The sequence below is a fragment of the Homo sapiens genome, chromosome X, assembly GCF_000001405.40.
Source record: "Homo sapiens chromosome X, GRCh38.p14 Primary Assembly".
Lineage (NCBI taxonomy): Eukaryota > Metazoa > Chordata > Mammalia > Primates > Hominidae > Homo > Homo sapiens.
In genome coordinates, this window is record NC_000023.11 from 12,928,029 (window position 1) to 12,942,571 (window position 14,543).

The window sequence follows — 14,543 nt, forward strand, 5'->3', positions numbered from 1 at the left end:
CAAGGAACTCAAACAAATTTACAAGAAAAAAAAAAAACAACCCCATCAAAAAGTGGGCAAAGGACATGAACAGACACTTCTCAAAAGAAGACATTTATGCAGCCAAAAAACACATGAAAAAATGCTCACCATCACTGGCTATCAGAGAAATGCAAATCAAAACCACAATGAGATACCATCTCACACCAGTTAGAATGGCAATCATTAAAAAGTCAGGAAACAACAGGTGCTGGAGAGGATGTGGAGAAATAGGAACACTTTTACACTGTTGGTGGGACTGTAAACTAGTTCAACCGTTGTGGAAGTCAGTGTGGCAATTCCTCAGGGATCTAGAACTAGAAATACCATTTGACCCAGCCATCCCATTACTGGGTATATACCCAAAGGACTATAAATCATGCTGCTATAAAGACACATGCACACGTATGTTTATTGCGGCACTATTCACAATAGCAAAGACTTGGAACCAACCCAAATGTCCAACAATGATAGACTGGATTAAGAAAATGTGGCACATATACACCATGGAAGACTATGCAGCCATAAAAAATGATGAGTTCATGTCCTTTGTAGGGACATGGATGAAATTGGAAATCATCATTCTCAGTAAACTATCGCAAGAACAAAAAACCAAACACCGCATATTCTCACTCATAGGTGGGAATTGAACAATGAGAACACATGGACACAGGAAGGGGAACATCACATTCTGGGGACTGTTGTGGGGTGGGGGGAAGTGGGAGGGATAGCTTTAGGAGATATACCTAATGCTAAATGACGAGTTAATGGGTGCAGCACACCAGCATGGCACATGTATACATATGTAACTAACCGGCACATTGTGCACATGTACCCTAAAACTTGAAGTATAATAATAAAATAAAATAACAGAAACAAAGCAGACATAGACAGTATGCAAATTAAAAAAAAAAAAGAAAACATCATGCTAAGTGAAAGAAGCCAGACACAAAAGACCCTATATTGTATGATTCCACTGATATGAAATGTTCAGAATAGGCAAATGCACAGAGACAGAGAGTAGGTAAGTAGTTGCCTGAGGCAGTAGAGGGTTGAGGGATTGGGAGAAGATGGGCATGGCTATTCAGGGGTCTGGGGTTTCTTGTTGAAGTTATGCAAATGTTCTAAAATTGATTGGAGTGATGATTACACAACTCTGTGAATATTCTGACAGCAATATTTCTCTTCCTGGCCCATTTTTTGGGTGGTTTTTCTGGCATTGCTGCACCATGTCTGAAGCTCCTGGCACTTACACTCTTGAAGTCTTCTCTATCAGCTTTCCCGGACCCTCTGCTTTTTTCTTGGAATTGATCAAGATTTGCCAGATCATAGTTTGGCACTGACCTCTGATTGTTGGCTTCTGTAAAGAACCCCAAACTACAGGAATTGGAATGCCTGGTCTGGTCAAAGGAGAGGATCTGGTTGATTCTGGACAAATCACTCCACCTCGCTGAGTATGATTCTTCATCTATAGAGTGGACTGAATGATCTCCAAGTACTTTCAAATATGAAAACTACTCTAGTTTCCTCAAGCTGCCACAAACTGCACGGCTTAAAAAACAGAAGTTTATTGTCTCATAGTTCTGGAAGTTAAAAGTCTGAAATCAAGGTGTCTGCAGGGCCACGCTCCCTCTGAAACCTATAGAGAAAGATCCTTCTTGCCTCTTTTGGCGTCTGGTGTTTGCCAGCAATCCACAGTATTCCTTACCTTGAAGACGCAGGACTCCAGTCTCTGCCTCTGTTGTCACATGGCCATCTTCCCTCTATGTCTCTCTCCTCTTCTTAAGAACAGAAGTCATAGTGGATTAAGGACCCACCCTACTCCTACTATGACCTCATCTTGACTAATCACATCTGCAACAACCTCATTTCCAAATGAGGTCAGCTTCTGAGGTCCTGGGGGTTAAGACTTCAACATGTAATTTTGTGGGGATGCAGTTCAACCCATAACCACAACCGTGGCTTTTCTTCCTTAGAAGTTACTGAGAACTCCATGAAAGTTGAAAATGCCCTTGTGAATGGGAGAGTCATTCACGACTATTGGAAGAAAAAGGCAATTTTCCTGTCGGCTATTAATAAAGCTATTATAGCAATATGGCAAGGTTTCTACTCTGATTATCCTTGAACTTAAAGTCATAATAGTATCCATTATTTCCAGTGAGTACAAGGGAAGGTCACATTACTGTGTTCTCTTCATTGCTGCCCTTAAATGCTTTCAGGGAAAGGGGGAATAGATAAAGCCCCAGGCCTTACTCAGCAATCGGGGCAAGACGTAGCAGTGTTTTGAACCTGAAGGAGACAACCCAGGGCTTCCTGTGCCAATGACTCAGAATGGAAAATGGTCTTTATAAATGTCCCTCCAGTGTGCAAAGGGTAGAGACTAGAATTTAAAATTCATCAGATATTAATAAGAAAAACCAAAGCAAACAAAAAATCTACTTATGATCATAGAACATTGCCATTGGGGAGCTGTTTATTATTTGAGCCTTTTTAAAATTTCTTTTTTTGTGTGTGAGAAACATATTTCTAGGAGTAGAGAGAAAAGGCTCCCCTGTTTTATGTACTCAGTCTTTCCCTCCTTTGAGATTACCCCTAAACTATTTTAGGGATAGCTCCCTGGTTATCTCAGTAATGATGACCCCAGAAGTTCAGAGATAATTAAGAGCCATGTCTGGGTTTGTGAGAGAAGCCCAAATGCAGTTATTCAAACCAGAAACCAGAGCCTCGTTGTTGACTCTTCCCTCTCACCGTGAGATCCAACCACTCATCAAGGACTCTCCATTTGACCTCCTAAATTCTTCTCCCATCCATCCCCCATCTTTGTGTCCATCATCAACACCCCTTGTCCAAGATACCTGCATTGCTCACTAGCTTCCTGGTATCCACTGTGTTCCCTCCAATTCAGTTCCAGAAGCTAGAGTGATTCTTATCAAAAGTGTGGCTTCTTCTGAATTAGGCTGACAATCTCAACTCCTGGAGAAGACCCACAATCCCTTTGTGACCTTCCATTTGTGCACCCCTCCAGCCTCCACTCTAAGCACCCCCACCAGTTGTCTTCGGTTTGTGCTAAGAACACACCAAACTCCCATCTCAGCACCTACACACATACGACTGCCCCAAGGCACGTCTGACTCCAGACTTCACTTAGCTAATTCCTGCTTACCCTACAGGGAGAGGTTAAATGCCACTGAGAGCAGCTTTATTCTAACCTCCAAATCCCACTCAGACGTCCCCCTTATACTATCTTCTCAGCATTTACCACAAGTTTTGTTGGATAAATGATAGAGAAATGAATAGTGTGGCTACAACACGTGTCTTCCATTAGACTGTAGGCCCCAAAGATCAGGGAAGGTGACTTTTAGTCCATCACTCTGTCCCCAGTATTCATCACCACGCCTGATACACAACAAAGACTTTCAATAAATACTTTTCAAGTGAATGAATGAATGAGCAAAGGTTCAGGTTGGCTTCTCTAGCTACACCCTAGGACAGATACAGTAAGGTCAGGCCACATTGTCAAATGTCCCACTGTAGCAGTCATGCATAAGGGTAGGCCTTCTGCACCTTCCATGTTCCCATTGCCCACTCATGGTGGCAAGCATGCTGATTGTCTCTTGAGTACTACACAGCACCAACAATCTCAGGTACCATGATGCTGATTCCATGAGGCTCTGAGCCTGGGCAAGAATCATTTACATTCTTATTGAGTGTTGGGCTATGGTTCAGAGCAAGCACAGCATAAGCCAAGAAGAAGGCAAAGGATGTTATCATGAAATGGAAGAAGTGTGTAAATTGAGTGCAACTATGTAGAAATCATGCGATGGTCCATAAACAAATATGGGCATAAGAGCAAGTCTGAATTCAGGCTCATGGAAGGCTGGTGTGGCTCTGCCAGCATGTGCTAGTTCACTAGTTCTATGCCACCATTCAAAGCAGAATTTCCCCAAGTCAATTCCATACGTAAGTACTCCATTAAAAACGCTCCTGAGTTCAAACAGGTTTGGAAACATCTTAGTTACTATAGTATTTCTCATATGCCTTGTGATCTCCAAAAGAGAACTATACTACACTGTGTCCCAAACTTACTTGATCACGATTCCTTTTTTTCTTTTTTTGCAGGGCATCTCCTAGAGCTAATGTTCTCTCTCTCTCTTTGGAAATGCAGATTTGAAGGCCTGAGATTTACCCAGCCTAATGAACCCCTGAAAATGTTCCCAGGTATATGATGATAGTCACCATATTGACATGAATTGTTCTGTTTTAAAAACAGAAAAAAAAACCACAATAATCTAGGCCATGTCCCTTGAGGCCTTTATATCAAGATGATTAGCTCCTTGAACTGGTCCTATTAGGTCTCTAGAGGAGAGATTATTGCTTCTGAAGAGAGATGTGACAACAAGGCAGAATATGATTCAGAAGCGGTAAATAATAAAACTAAAAATGATAGCTTCTCCTTTGGTACAGGGTGGAGAGGTTAATATTCATTTCTAAAGCATCATTAGCCATATAAAGTATAATTTCAGCACTTGACATAAACTGAAAACACACATAATCCTCCCATTGAGTGGGCTAACCTTGGCTGTGGCTGGATGAGCTCTCTAGGGACTTATTAGGGAATATGGTACTTTCAAAGATGTTAAATCCAGTGGAAGTGACTGAAGCAATTAGTCTCTGATCTTGAGAGAATTTCCACCTTTGAATCAGCAAACCCTATCCAACCGAAGTTGAGTACTCTAGAGATGATATTGTTTATACTGGAAACCAATATGAAATATGTGAATGTATGTATAATGTACATATATAGACACATGTAGAGGAGTATTTATATATAGATAGAGATGTTCATTATTGACTGCTTAGTAGATATAAAGAAGAGAATAAAATTTAAAAATAAGGAAATAAGGAAAATGAGAGCATGATGTAGTAATTTTTCTATTTCTATTTAAATGTTCTTTCCTAACATCCAGTTTGTTGTGGAGTCACCAAAAAGCATCACCTCATCAAAACACACACACACACACACACACACACCAACAAAAGACATAACCTACCAGCCAAAAAAAAGCCCAGGACCAGACGGATTTACAGCTGATTTCTATCAGAGGTGCAAAGAAGAAAAGAGCTGGGACTCTTTCTACTGAAACTATTCCAAAAAATTGAAAAGGAGGGACTCCTCCCTAACTCATTCTATGAGGCCAGCATCATCCTGATACCAAAACCTGGCAGAGACACAACAAAAAAAGAAAACTTCAGGCCAATATCCTTGATGAACATTGATGCAAAAATCCTCAACAGGCTGGGTGTGGTGGCTCATGCCTGTGATCCCAGCACTTTGGGAGGCCAAGGTGGGCAGATCACTTGAGAGCAGCAGTTTGGGACCAGCATGGCAAAACCCCCTCTCTACTAAAAATACAGAAATTAGCCGGGTGTGGTGGCTTGTAATCTCAGCTACTTGGGTGGCTGAGGCATGAGAATCACTTGAACCCAGGAGACGGAGCCTGCAGTGAGCCATGATTATACCACTGCGCTCCAGCCCAGGGGACAGAGCAAGACTTTGTCTCAATAAAAAAAGTCCTCAACAAAATACTGGCAAACTGAATCCAGCAGTACATCAAAAAGCTAATCAACCACAATCAAGTAGGCCTCATCCATGGGATGCAAGGTTGGTTCAACATACTCAAATCAATAGATGTAATTAATCACATAAACAGATCTAAAGACAAAAACCACATGATTGTCTCAATACGTGCAGAAAAAGCCTTTGATAAAATTCAACATTCCTTCATGTTAAAAACTCTCAATAAACTAGGTATTGAAGGAACATACCTCAAAATAATAAGAGCCATGTATGACAAACCCATAGCCAATACCATATTGAATGGGAAAAATCTGGAAGTATTCCCCTTGAAAACAAGAAAGACAAAATCTGCATCATTCCCTGAGGGGCATTTCTTTTCCTGGCTCAGCACATAGGCTAAAAAGAGGCCAAGAGTGAGCAGATCTGTGAGCTGTGGTTCAACGTCTGGTGGTGGGGAAGAGAAAAGAAGAAAGAATTGGGAAGGAGAGAGAAGAAACAAGGCCTTGTGAGTGGGGAAAGATGCAGGTAGGAGTCAGTCAAGTATTTATCTTGAGGTGTCTATCTCACATCAGTTTCTCTTTGAGGCAGTGGTTTTCAAATTCGGCCTATATCACCTAAAGGGCTTGTTAAAACACAGTCTGGGGCATGCCTGACAAGTGTGCAGCTCCAGTGAGTTACCAGGTGCTGCTGATGCTGCTGATTGGGGAACACACTTTGAGAACCACTGGTCTAAGCATCCCCCAAGTGCACAACTCAAAATCAACAATTTCTACCTCCACCTTAGACAGCACTTTGCTCCTGTATCATGGCACTTCTTTGTTTTATCTTGGTCAGAGTTAGTAGCTTGATCTCCCTCCTCTGTAAATTCTGTAGGGGACTGAAGATTGTAAATTCCTGGAAGGCAGAGGCCACAGTTTACTCATGCCTGTATCCTCCAGAGCACAAAGTACGGTACGTATTAGTTAGCAGTTGTTTAATCAATGTTTGTGGAATAAAATTCTAGAAAGTGATCTGATAAATATGTGTATTATGTAACTGATGCATACATTAACCTTTCCAGAGATTTACATGGTTTGTTTACTGATGGCAATATCTTAAAACCAAACAAATGCATTTCTAATGATGTTCATTTAAGCAATGCACCAGATCTGTTGAGGGGATATAGTTTTGGCAAAGACGTGCTGACTGGTTCTTAAACCACAACGGCTGGATTTTTCTGGCTTTCCTGCTCCTCTGACTTATCAGGAGAGCTTTGCGTACCTCCCGAGCCTCCAACAGCCAGAAGTTTCAAGTTAGCCACTAATCTGAACACACGATTATCATGTTCTGATCACAAAATATGAAACATTACAAAAGGAAGGCTCATTTAATTTTCACATGTACACAGTCCAAAGATAAGGTGTGGCTCCTTATTCGCATTACTCTGCGAACCCAAATGCACATAGGGAGCCACACCAGATGGGAGTGGCTCCCTATCTGCATTACTCTGTGAACCCAAAATATCTGAGACAAGCCTCAGTCAATTTAGAAAGTTTATTTTGCCAAGGTTAAGGATACACCTATGACACAGCCTCAAGAGGGCCTGACAACATGTGCCCAAGGTGGTTTGGGTGCAGCTTAGTTCTATACATTTTAGGGAGATATGAGACATCAGTATGTGTAAGATGTACATTGGTTCGGTCCAGAAAGGCTGGACAACTCGAAGCAGGGGAGGGGACTTTCAGGTCATAGGTAGATAAGATACAAAAGGTTGCATTATTTTGGGTCTCTGATCAGCCTTTCACTGAATATACAATTCACATGGAAGAGGAGTTCGAGATCAGCCTGGCGAACATGGCAAAACTCCATCTCTACTGAAATACCAAAAATTAGCTGGGTGTAGTGGCAGGTGCCTGTAATCCCAGCTACTCTGGAGGCTGAGGCAGGAGAATTGCTTCAACCTGGGAGGCAGAGGGTGCAGTGAGCTGGGATCGTGCCACTACACTCCAGCCTAGGCGACAGAGCAAGACTCCATCTCAAAAAAAAAAAAAAAATTGTAATCATTTTGACTGTAAAATATAATTTCCATAAACCCTTTTATAACCTTTTATTAAGGAGTGGGTTAACATTCCAAGAAAACTTGTTAATCTGACACAGGGGCCCATATGCTGGTCTTGCATCAGTGTACCTTCAATATTAATGGTTAATTTATAGAGAAACTGAACTAATTTTATCTCTCAAAATTGGCCTTTACAATCTCTTACACCATCCTCTTCCATGGTAGTCCCTGGGCCTTGAGGAGTTGAATAGTTTTAATTTCTGGATTGGTGCCTCACAAACACAGCTTATTTTGATTGGCATCTTCTACCAGGTCTGAAGATGAGGCTTTAACTGGTGTCAGTGTTTAAGATTTAGCAGGACTTGGTGTCTTTTTTAGACCCAGGAGTCAAAGCCTTGAAACTTAATGGCACAAAGACTTTAAGAGCAAAATACAGAAAGTTACATGGATGTGATAATCTTAATTTAAAACAATTTTTAAAGTCTCAGTTTTTTTCTAAGCAAATCAAAAGTTAGTAACAATGACATAGGAATTATTTTGATAAAATGTAAAATTTGTTTGTTAGACCAGTCACCAAAAGGCAAAAGAAAAGACCTTCTGCAGTGCAATTGCTGTTCCTATGGGTGTCCATTTAGATAACCTGCAAGTCAAACTAATGAAAAGGGTACATCAATTAATCAGACATAGGAAGAGTGTTTCTTGGGTAATAAGTGAAAATTTTTGGATTCATAGAACAATTTAAAGCCAAGAGCACAGAATGTTATGTTGGAATAAAATATTTCCTTTAGACATTTATAAAACATTTTTAGCATCAGACTTCAACAAACAGTTAGAACCTAAGGGAAAAAAAATCTTACAGGAACTGAAAATGAGTTGAAGGATAGAGTTATTATTTCAGGCCTTTTAAAAAGGGAGAGAAAGCTGAAAATAGCAAGACACAAAAAAGTTGAACTTTGGGTTCAAAAAAATTAAAATCTCTGGTAATTTTATTAAGAATAAACCAATACCTTAAGAAAATTCCAGGCCAGGCGTGGTGGCTCACACCTGTAATCCTAGCACTTTGGGAGGCTGAGGTGGGTGGATCACCTGAGGTCAGGATTTCGAGACTAGCCTGGCCAATATGGTGAAACCCTGTCTCTACTAAAAATGCAAAATTAACCAGGCATGGTGGCATATGCCTCTAATCCCAACTACTTGGGAGACTGAGGCAGGAGAATCATTTGAACCTGGGAGGCGGAGGTTGCAGTAAGCCACTGCACTCCAGCCTGGGCAACAAGAGCAAAACTCCGTCTCAAAAAAAAAAAAAAAGAAAATTCCATTGTTCTACCCAATTCTTTAGTGTATAAGTGCTCTTTAAATATTAAAGCCCAATCTCTAGAAAGACCATCATAAATAATTTCCCTTTAATTTTAGGCAACTTGATCATAAAGACCCTTTTTTTCCATAAATTCTCTTTTTACAAACCTTATTACAGCTTACACAGGCCATTCATGATATTCATGACATGCTTGGACTTTGTGGATTGTCCTGAACATATCTCTTTCTTAAACAACCAGTCATTTTATTCTAGGACAAAAATTTACCATACAATATTTTTTCTCATATAAAATTATTTTGTTTTTAACCTTTCTTGCCAAAAATACCTCTTTACATTTATAACTTTTTTTACATTGCTTTTATTTACTGGTTACCATTACTTTGTTTTATAAATAACTTTTAAATAAACTTTGAATTAGACAAAAATTATTTTCTTTTAAATAAGAACACATTTCTTTTTTTTAGAAAAAATGTTTTCTTATCACTTAAAAAAATTGGAAATGACCCAGACATTCAATGAATATCTATTATTTAACTTTAGATTTTAAATTTTATAAGTTTATTTATAAGCATTTATCTCATTACATTTACCTAATTAATTTTTAACATAGTTTAACCAGATTACTTATAAAAACTGTGATAGTTATCATTTAAAGTTATTTCCCTGTTAACCATTTTATAACCTGTGAATTTCAGGTTTTCCTAAGTGAGAACCTTAAGGTTAGATAAATAGTTTTTTTGGTGTGTTTTTTTTTTTTTGCCAATAACTCAGGATTTAGCTGTTTTCATTAATTGAACAATATTAAATGATTTATCAAAGTTTACATAAAGATAATTTTCCTTTGGGCTGCATTCATAGCTTTACAACCCTCATGCCAAATTTTAACATGTAGCAGCGATAAAATATAAAACCACTTTACCAATAAATCTAAACAATAATGTATGTTGACAATTCTGAAGCCATTTCTAATTCTGTTTCATGAATACTTTCAAAACCAGCTTATTTACTAAAAATTTACTTGAGTCATATGAACTTGAAAAAGCATTTGGCTTAAAGTATTTTTTTCTGATAATTTGATTTTGGCTGGGTGCAGTGGCTCACATCTGTAATCCCAGCACTTTGGGAGGCCAAGGTAGGCAGATCACTTGAGGTCAGGAGTTCGAGACCAGCCTGGCCAACATGGTGAAACCCCGTCTCTACCAAGAATACAAAAATTAGCCGTGGTGGCACACGCCTGTACTGCCAGCTACTTGGGAGGCTGAGGCACAAGAATCACTTGAACCTAGGAGGTAGAGGTTGTAGTCAGCTGAGATTATGCCACTGCACTCCAGCCTGGGCAACAGAGCAAGACTCTGTCTCAAAGAAAAGAAAATTTGATTTAAGCGCTTTTTTTTCCTTTAAGCCAATTAATTAGAGCTTGTTGGTGTATTTTTAGTAGTGAAACATTATATACATGACACATAAATACATAGATATATTAGACATGCAGATAGACCTTATAGATTCATAAGACCTCTTCTTTTTCCTCCTATTTTAGACTTCCAATTTCTTGATGACCCATTTTATTACCCTAGGTAGCTGTCAGCTAGATAGCCCCAAATTTGCATATCAAAGGAATAGCTCTCAGGTGAAAAATCAGATATTGAAATTTATATCTCAAGGTAGAGAGAGAGAGTCTGGTGGTGCTAGGAGATTAAAAACAAATGCCAAATCAAACATAAATTTATAGAAATCTATCAGGATTGTATAAGGAAATAAATTTTATTTAGATAGGTAGTTCTATTAAATACATTTAGTCTCTATCTTTTAACTGGATCTCTGAGCTCTGAGCAGAGCACCCATTGAATCCTGGGTCTCCAAAAAGCGAGAATTATTATGGGACTAGAACACATGATGCTTTTACAGTATACTTTTTTTTAAAAAAAAAGATATTTCTTTAAGTGTCTAAACTATACTCTTCCTTACTTTAAACACCCAAGAGAAACCTCTGTTATAATAACTATTTTAGTTAAAGAAAAAAAGAAAGAAAGAAATCAGGTAACACAATAAAAAAACAAGCAGTTTAAGATCTGAGATGAACTTGTCTCTTTACGCTCTTTGTGTTCCATAAGGAAAAACAGAGGTTTCTCCCCAAAAGGGAGTCTGGCACTGTCTGTTTTCTTTAAGGAATCCCATGCTATTAGAAACTGTATTGGTTCCCTCATGCAGCAGAGGGTGGCAAAAGAAAGTAGAGACAGCAGAAGTAAATGGCGAAAACAGAATTCAGTCTACTGAGAAGAGAAAAAAAACTTTTTCTCAAAAAAAAAACAAGGTCCTAGGAGAGAAAAAAAAACCATAACAACCTTTTTAAATACACACACACACACACACACACACACACACACACACACACATCATCATCATCATCATCATCTTGGATATTAGCTTTTAATTAAACTGACTTTTAACCATTGAGCTCCATTTAAAAAAAAACCTTTTTAATCTCATTACCATATTTTAACTAGGATAAATTGCTGATATTTCAAAAGTAACACAAATATCAAACCAGAAAGGGCTTTAGAAACCAAACCCAGACTGTCTTGATGAAAAAAAAGTGGGGGCAGAAGCTTAGCTATGGAACTGCTGCATGGGGCGACAGCCATTACTCTTTCAGTTTGGCTTGGCTAACAAAAACTGGCCTTATTATGTAAATAAAGCCCTCAGGGTAGTCAAAATCAAGAACCTTTCTCTTTTATCCCCTTTTGCTGGACTGTTTTTCCTTCTCCCTGCTTTTTTTTTTTTTTTTTCCAGCTGTGGAATTTAGCCAATTCAGAGGTCTTGTTCCCCGTAATGTGGAACTTTCCTTCAGATTTGATCAAGTTGGATAGAGTTGGTCAAACCCAATTGTCAGGCCTCTGAGCTCAAGCTAAGCCATCATATCCCCTGTGATCTGCACGTACACATCCAGATGGCTGGTTCCTGCCTTAACTGATGACATTCCACCACAAAAGAAGTGAAAATGGCCTGTTCGTGCCTTAACTGATGACATTGTCTTGTGAAATTCCTTCTCCTGGCTCATCCTGGCTCAAAAGCTCCCCCACTGAGTACCTTGTGACCCCCCACTCCTGCCCGCCAGAGAACAATTCCCTTTGACTGTAATTTTCCTTTATCTACCCAAATCCTATAAAACGGCCCCACCCTTATCTCCCTTCGCTGACTCTCTTTTTGGACTCAGCCCACCTGCACCCAGGTGAAATAAACAGCCTTGTTGCTCACACAAAGCCTGTTTGGTGGTCTCTTCACAGGGACACGCATGAAATTTGGTGCCGTGACTTGGATCGGGGGACCTCCCTTGGGAGATCAATCCCCTGTCCTCCTGCTCTCTGCTCTGTGAGAAAGATGCACCTACGACCTCAGGTCCTCAGACCGACCAGCCCAAGAAACATCTCACTAATTTCAAATCTGGTAAGCGGCCTCTTTTTACTCTCTTCTCCAACCTCCCTCACTATCCCTCAACCTCTTTCTCCTTTCAATCTTGGCGCCACACTTCAATCTCTCCCTTCTCTTAATTTCAATTCCTTTCATTTTCTGGTAGAGACAAAGGAGACATGCTTTATCCATGGACCCAAAACTCTGGTGCCGGTCACGGACTGGGAAGGCAGCCTTCCCTTGGTGTTTAATCATTGCAGGGATGCCTCTCTGATTATTCACCCACGTTTCAGCGGTGTCAGACCACCCAGGGATGCCTGCCTTGGTCATTCATGCTTAGCGGCAAGTTCCGCTTTTCTGTGGGAGGGGCAAGTACCCCAACCCCTTCTCTCCGTGTCTCTACCCCTTCTCCACTTTTCTGGGGGAGGGGCCAGAACCCCTCAACCCCTTCTCCTTCACCCTTAGTGGCAAGTCCCGCTTTTCTAGGGGGCAAGAATCCCCAATCCCTTATTTCCGTGCCCCGACCTCTCATCTCTGCACCTCAACCCCTTATTTCCGTGCCCCGACCCCTTTCCCGCTTTTCTGGAGGTTAAGAACCCTCGAACCCCTTCCCTCCATGTCTCTACTCTCTCTTTTCTCTGGGCTTGCCTCCTTCACTATAGGCAACCTTCCACCCTCCATTCCTCCGTCTCCCTTAGCCTGTGCTCTCAAGAACTTAAAACCTCTTCAACTCACACCTGACCTAAAACCTAAATGCCTTATTTTCTTCTGCAATGCCGCTTGACCCCAATACAAACTTGACAGTGGTTCCAAATAGCCAGAAAATGGCACTTTCAATTTTTCCATTCTACAAGATCTAAATAATTCTTGTCATAAAATGGGCAAATGGTCTGAGGTGCCTGACTTCCAAGCATTGTTTTACACATTGGTCTCTCCCTAGTCTCTGTGCCCAGTGCAACTTGTCCCAAATCTTCCTTCTTTCCCTCCCGCCTGTCCCCTCAGTCCCAACCCCAAGTGTTGCTGAGTCTTTCTAATCTTCCTTTTCTACAGACCCATCTGACCTCTCCCCTCCTCCCCAGGCTGCTCCTTGCCAGGCCGAGCTAGGTCCCAATTCTTCCTCAGCCTCCGCTCCTCCACCCTATAATCTTTTTATCACCTCCCCTCCTCACACCCGGTCTGGTTTACAGTTTCATTCCGTGAGTGGCCCTCCCCGACCTGCCCAGCAATTTCCTCTTAAAAAGGTGGCTGAAGCTAAAGGCATAGTCAAGGTTAATGCTCCTTTTTCTTTATCAGATGTCTCCCAAATCAGTGAGCATTTAGGCTCTTTCATCAAATATGAAAAACCCAGCCCAGTTCATGGCTCGTTCGGCAACAACCCTGAGACGCTTTACAGCCCTAGACCCTAAAAGGTCAAAAGGCCGTCTTATTCTCAATATACATGTTATTACCCAATCCGCTCCTGACATTAAATAAAACTCCAAAAATTAAATTCCGGCCCTCAAACCCCACAACAGGACTTAATTAACCTCGCCTTCAAGGTGTACAATAATAGAGACAGCCAAGTAGCAACATATTTCTGAGTTGCAATTCCTTGCCTCCACTGTGAGACAAACCCCAGCCACATCTCCAGCACACAAGAACTTCCAAACGACTAAACCGCAGTAGCCAGGCATTCCTCCAGAACCGCCTCCCCCAGGAGCTTGCTACAAGTGCCAGAAATCTGGCCACCAGGCCAAGGAATGCCCGCAACCCAGGATTCCTCCTAAGCCGTGTCCCATCTGTGCGGGACCCCACTGGAAATTGGATGGAAATCGGACTGTTCAACTCACCTGGCAGCCACTCCCAGAGACCCTGGAACTCTGGCCCAAGGCTCTCTGACTGACTCCTTCCCAGATCTTCTCGGCTTAGCGGCTGAAGACTGACGCTGCCTGATTGCCTCAGAAGCCCTGTAGACCATCACAGATGCCAAGCTTTAGGTAACTCTCACAGTGGAGGGTAAGTCCGTCCCCTTCTTAATCAATACGGAGGCTACCCACTCCACATTACCTTATTTTCAAGGGCCTGTTTCCCTTGCCTCCATAACTGTTGTGGGTATTGACGGCCAGGCTTCTAAACCTCTTAAAACTCCCCAACTCTGGTGCCAACTTAGACAATACTCTTTTAAGCACTCCTTTTTAGTTATC

At 41.0% G+C, this 14,543-nt stretch overlaps 1 long non-coding RNA gene across 1 annotated transcript in view; it reads right to left on the reverse strand.

The window, feature by feature from the left end:
- The window catches only part of TLR8-AS1 (TLR8 antisense RNA 1), a 40,484-nt gene that overhangs the window by 25,212 nt on the left and 729 nt on the right, over positions 1 to 14,543 (reverse strand). Inside the window, exon 2 of the long non-coding RNA NR_030727.1 lies at positions 14,190 to 14,306. This is a non-coding gene — a long non-coding RNA (TLR8 antisense RNA 1). The remainder of the gene's footprint in view (positions 1 to 14,189; positions 14,307 to 14,543) is intronic.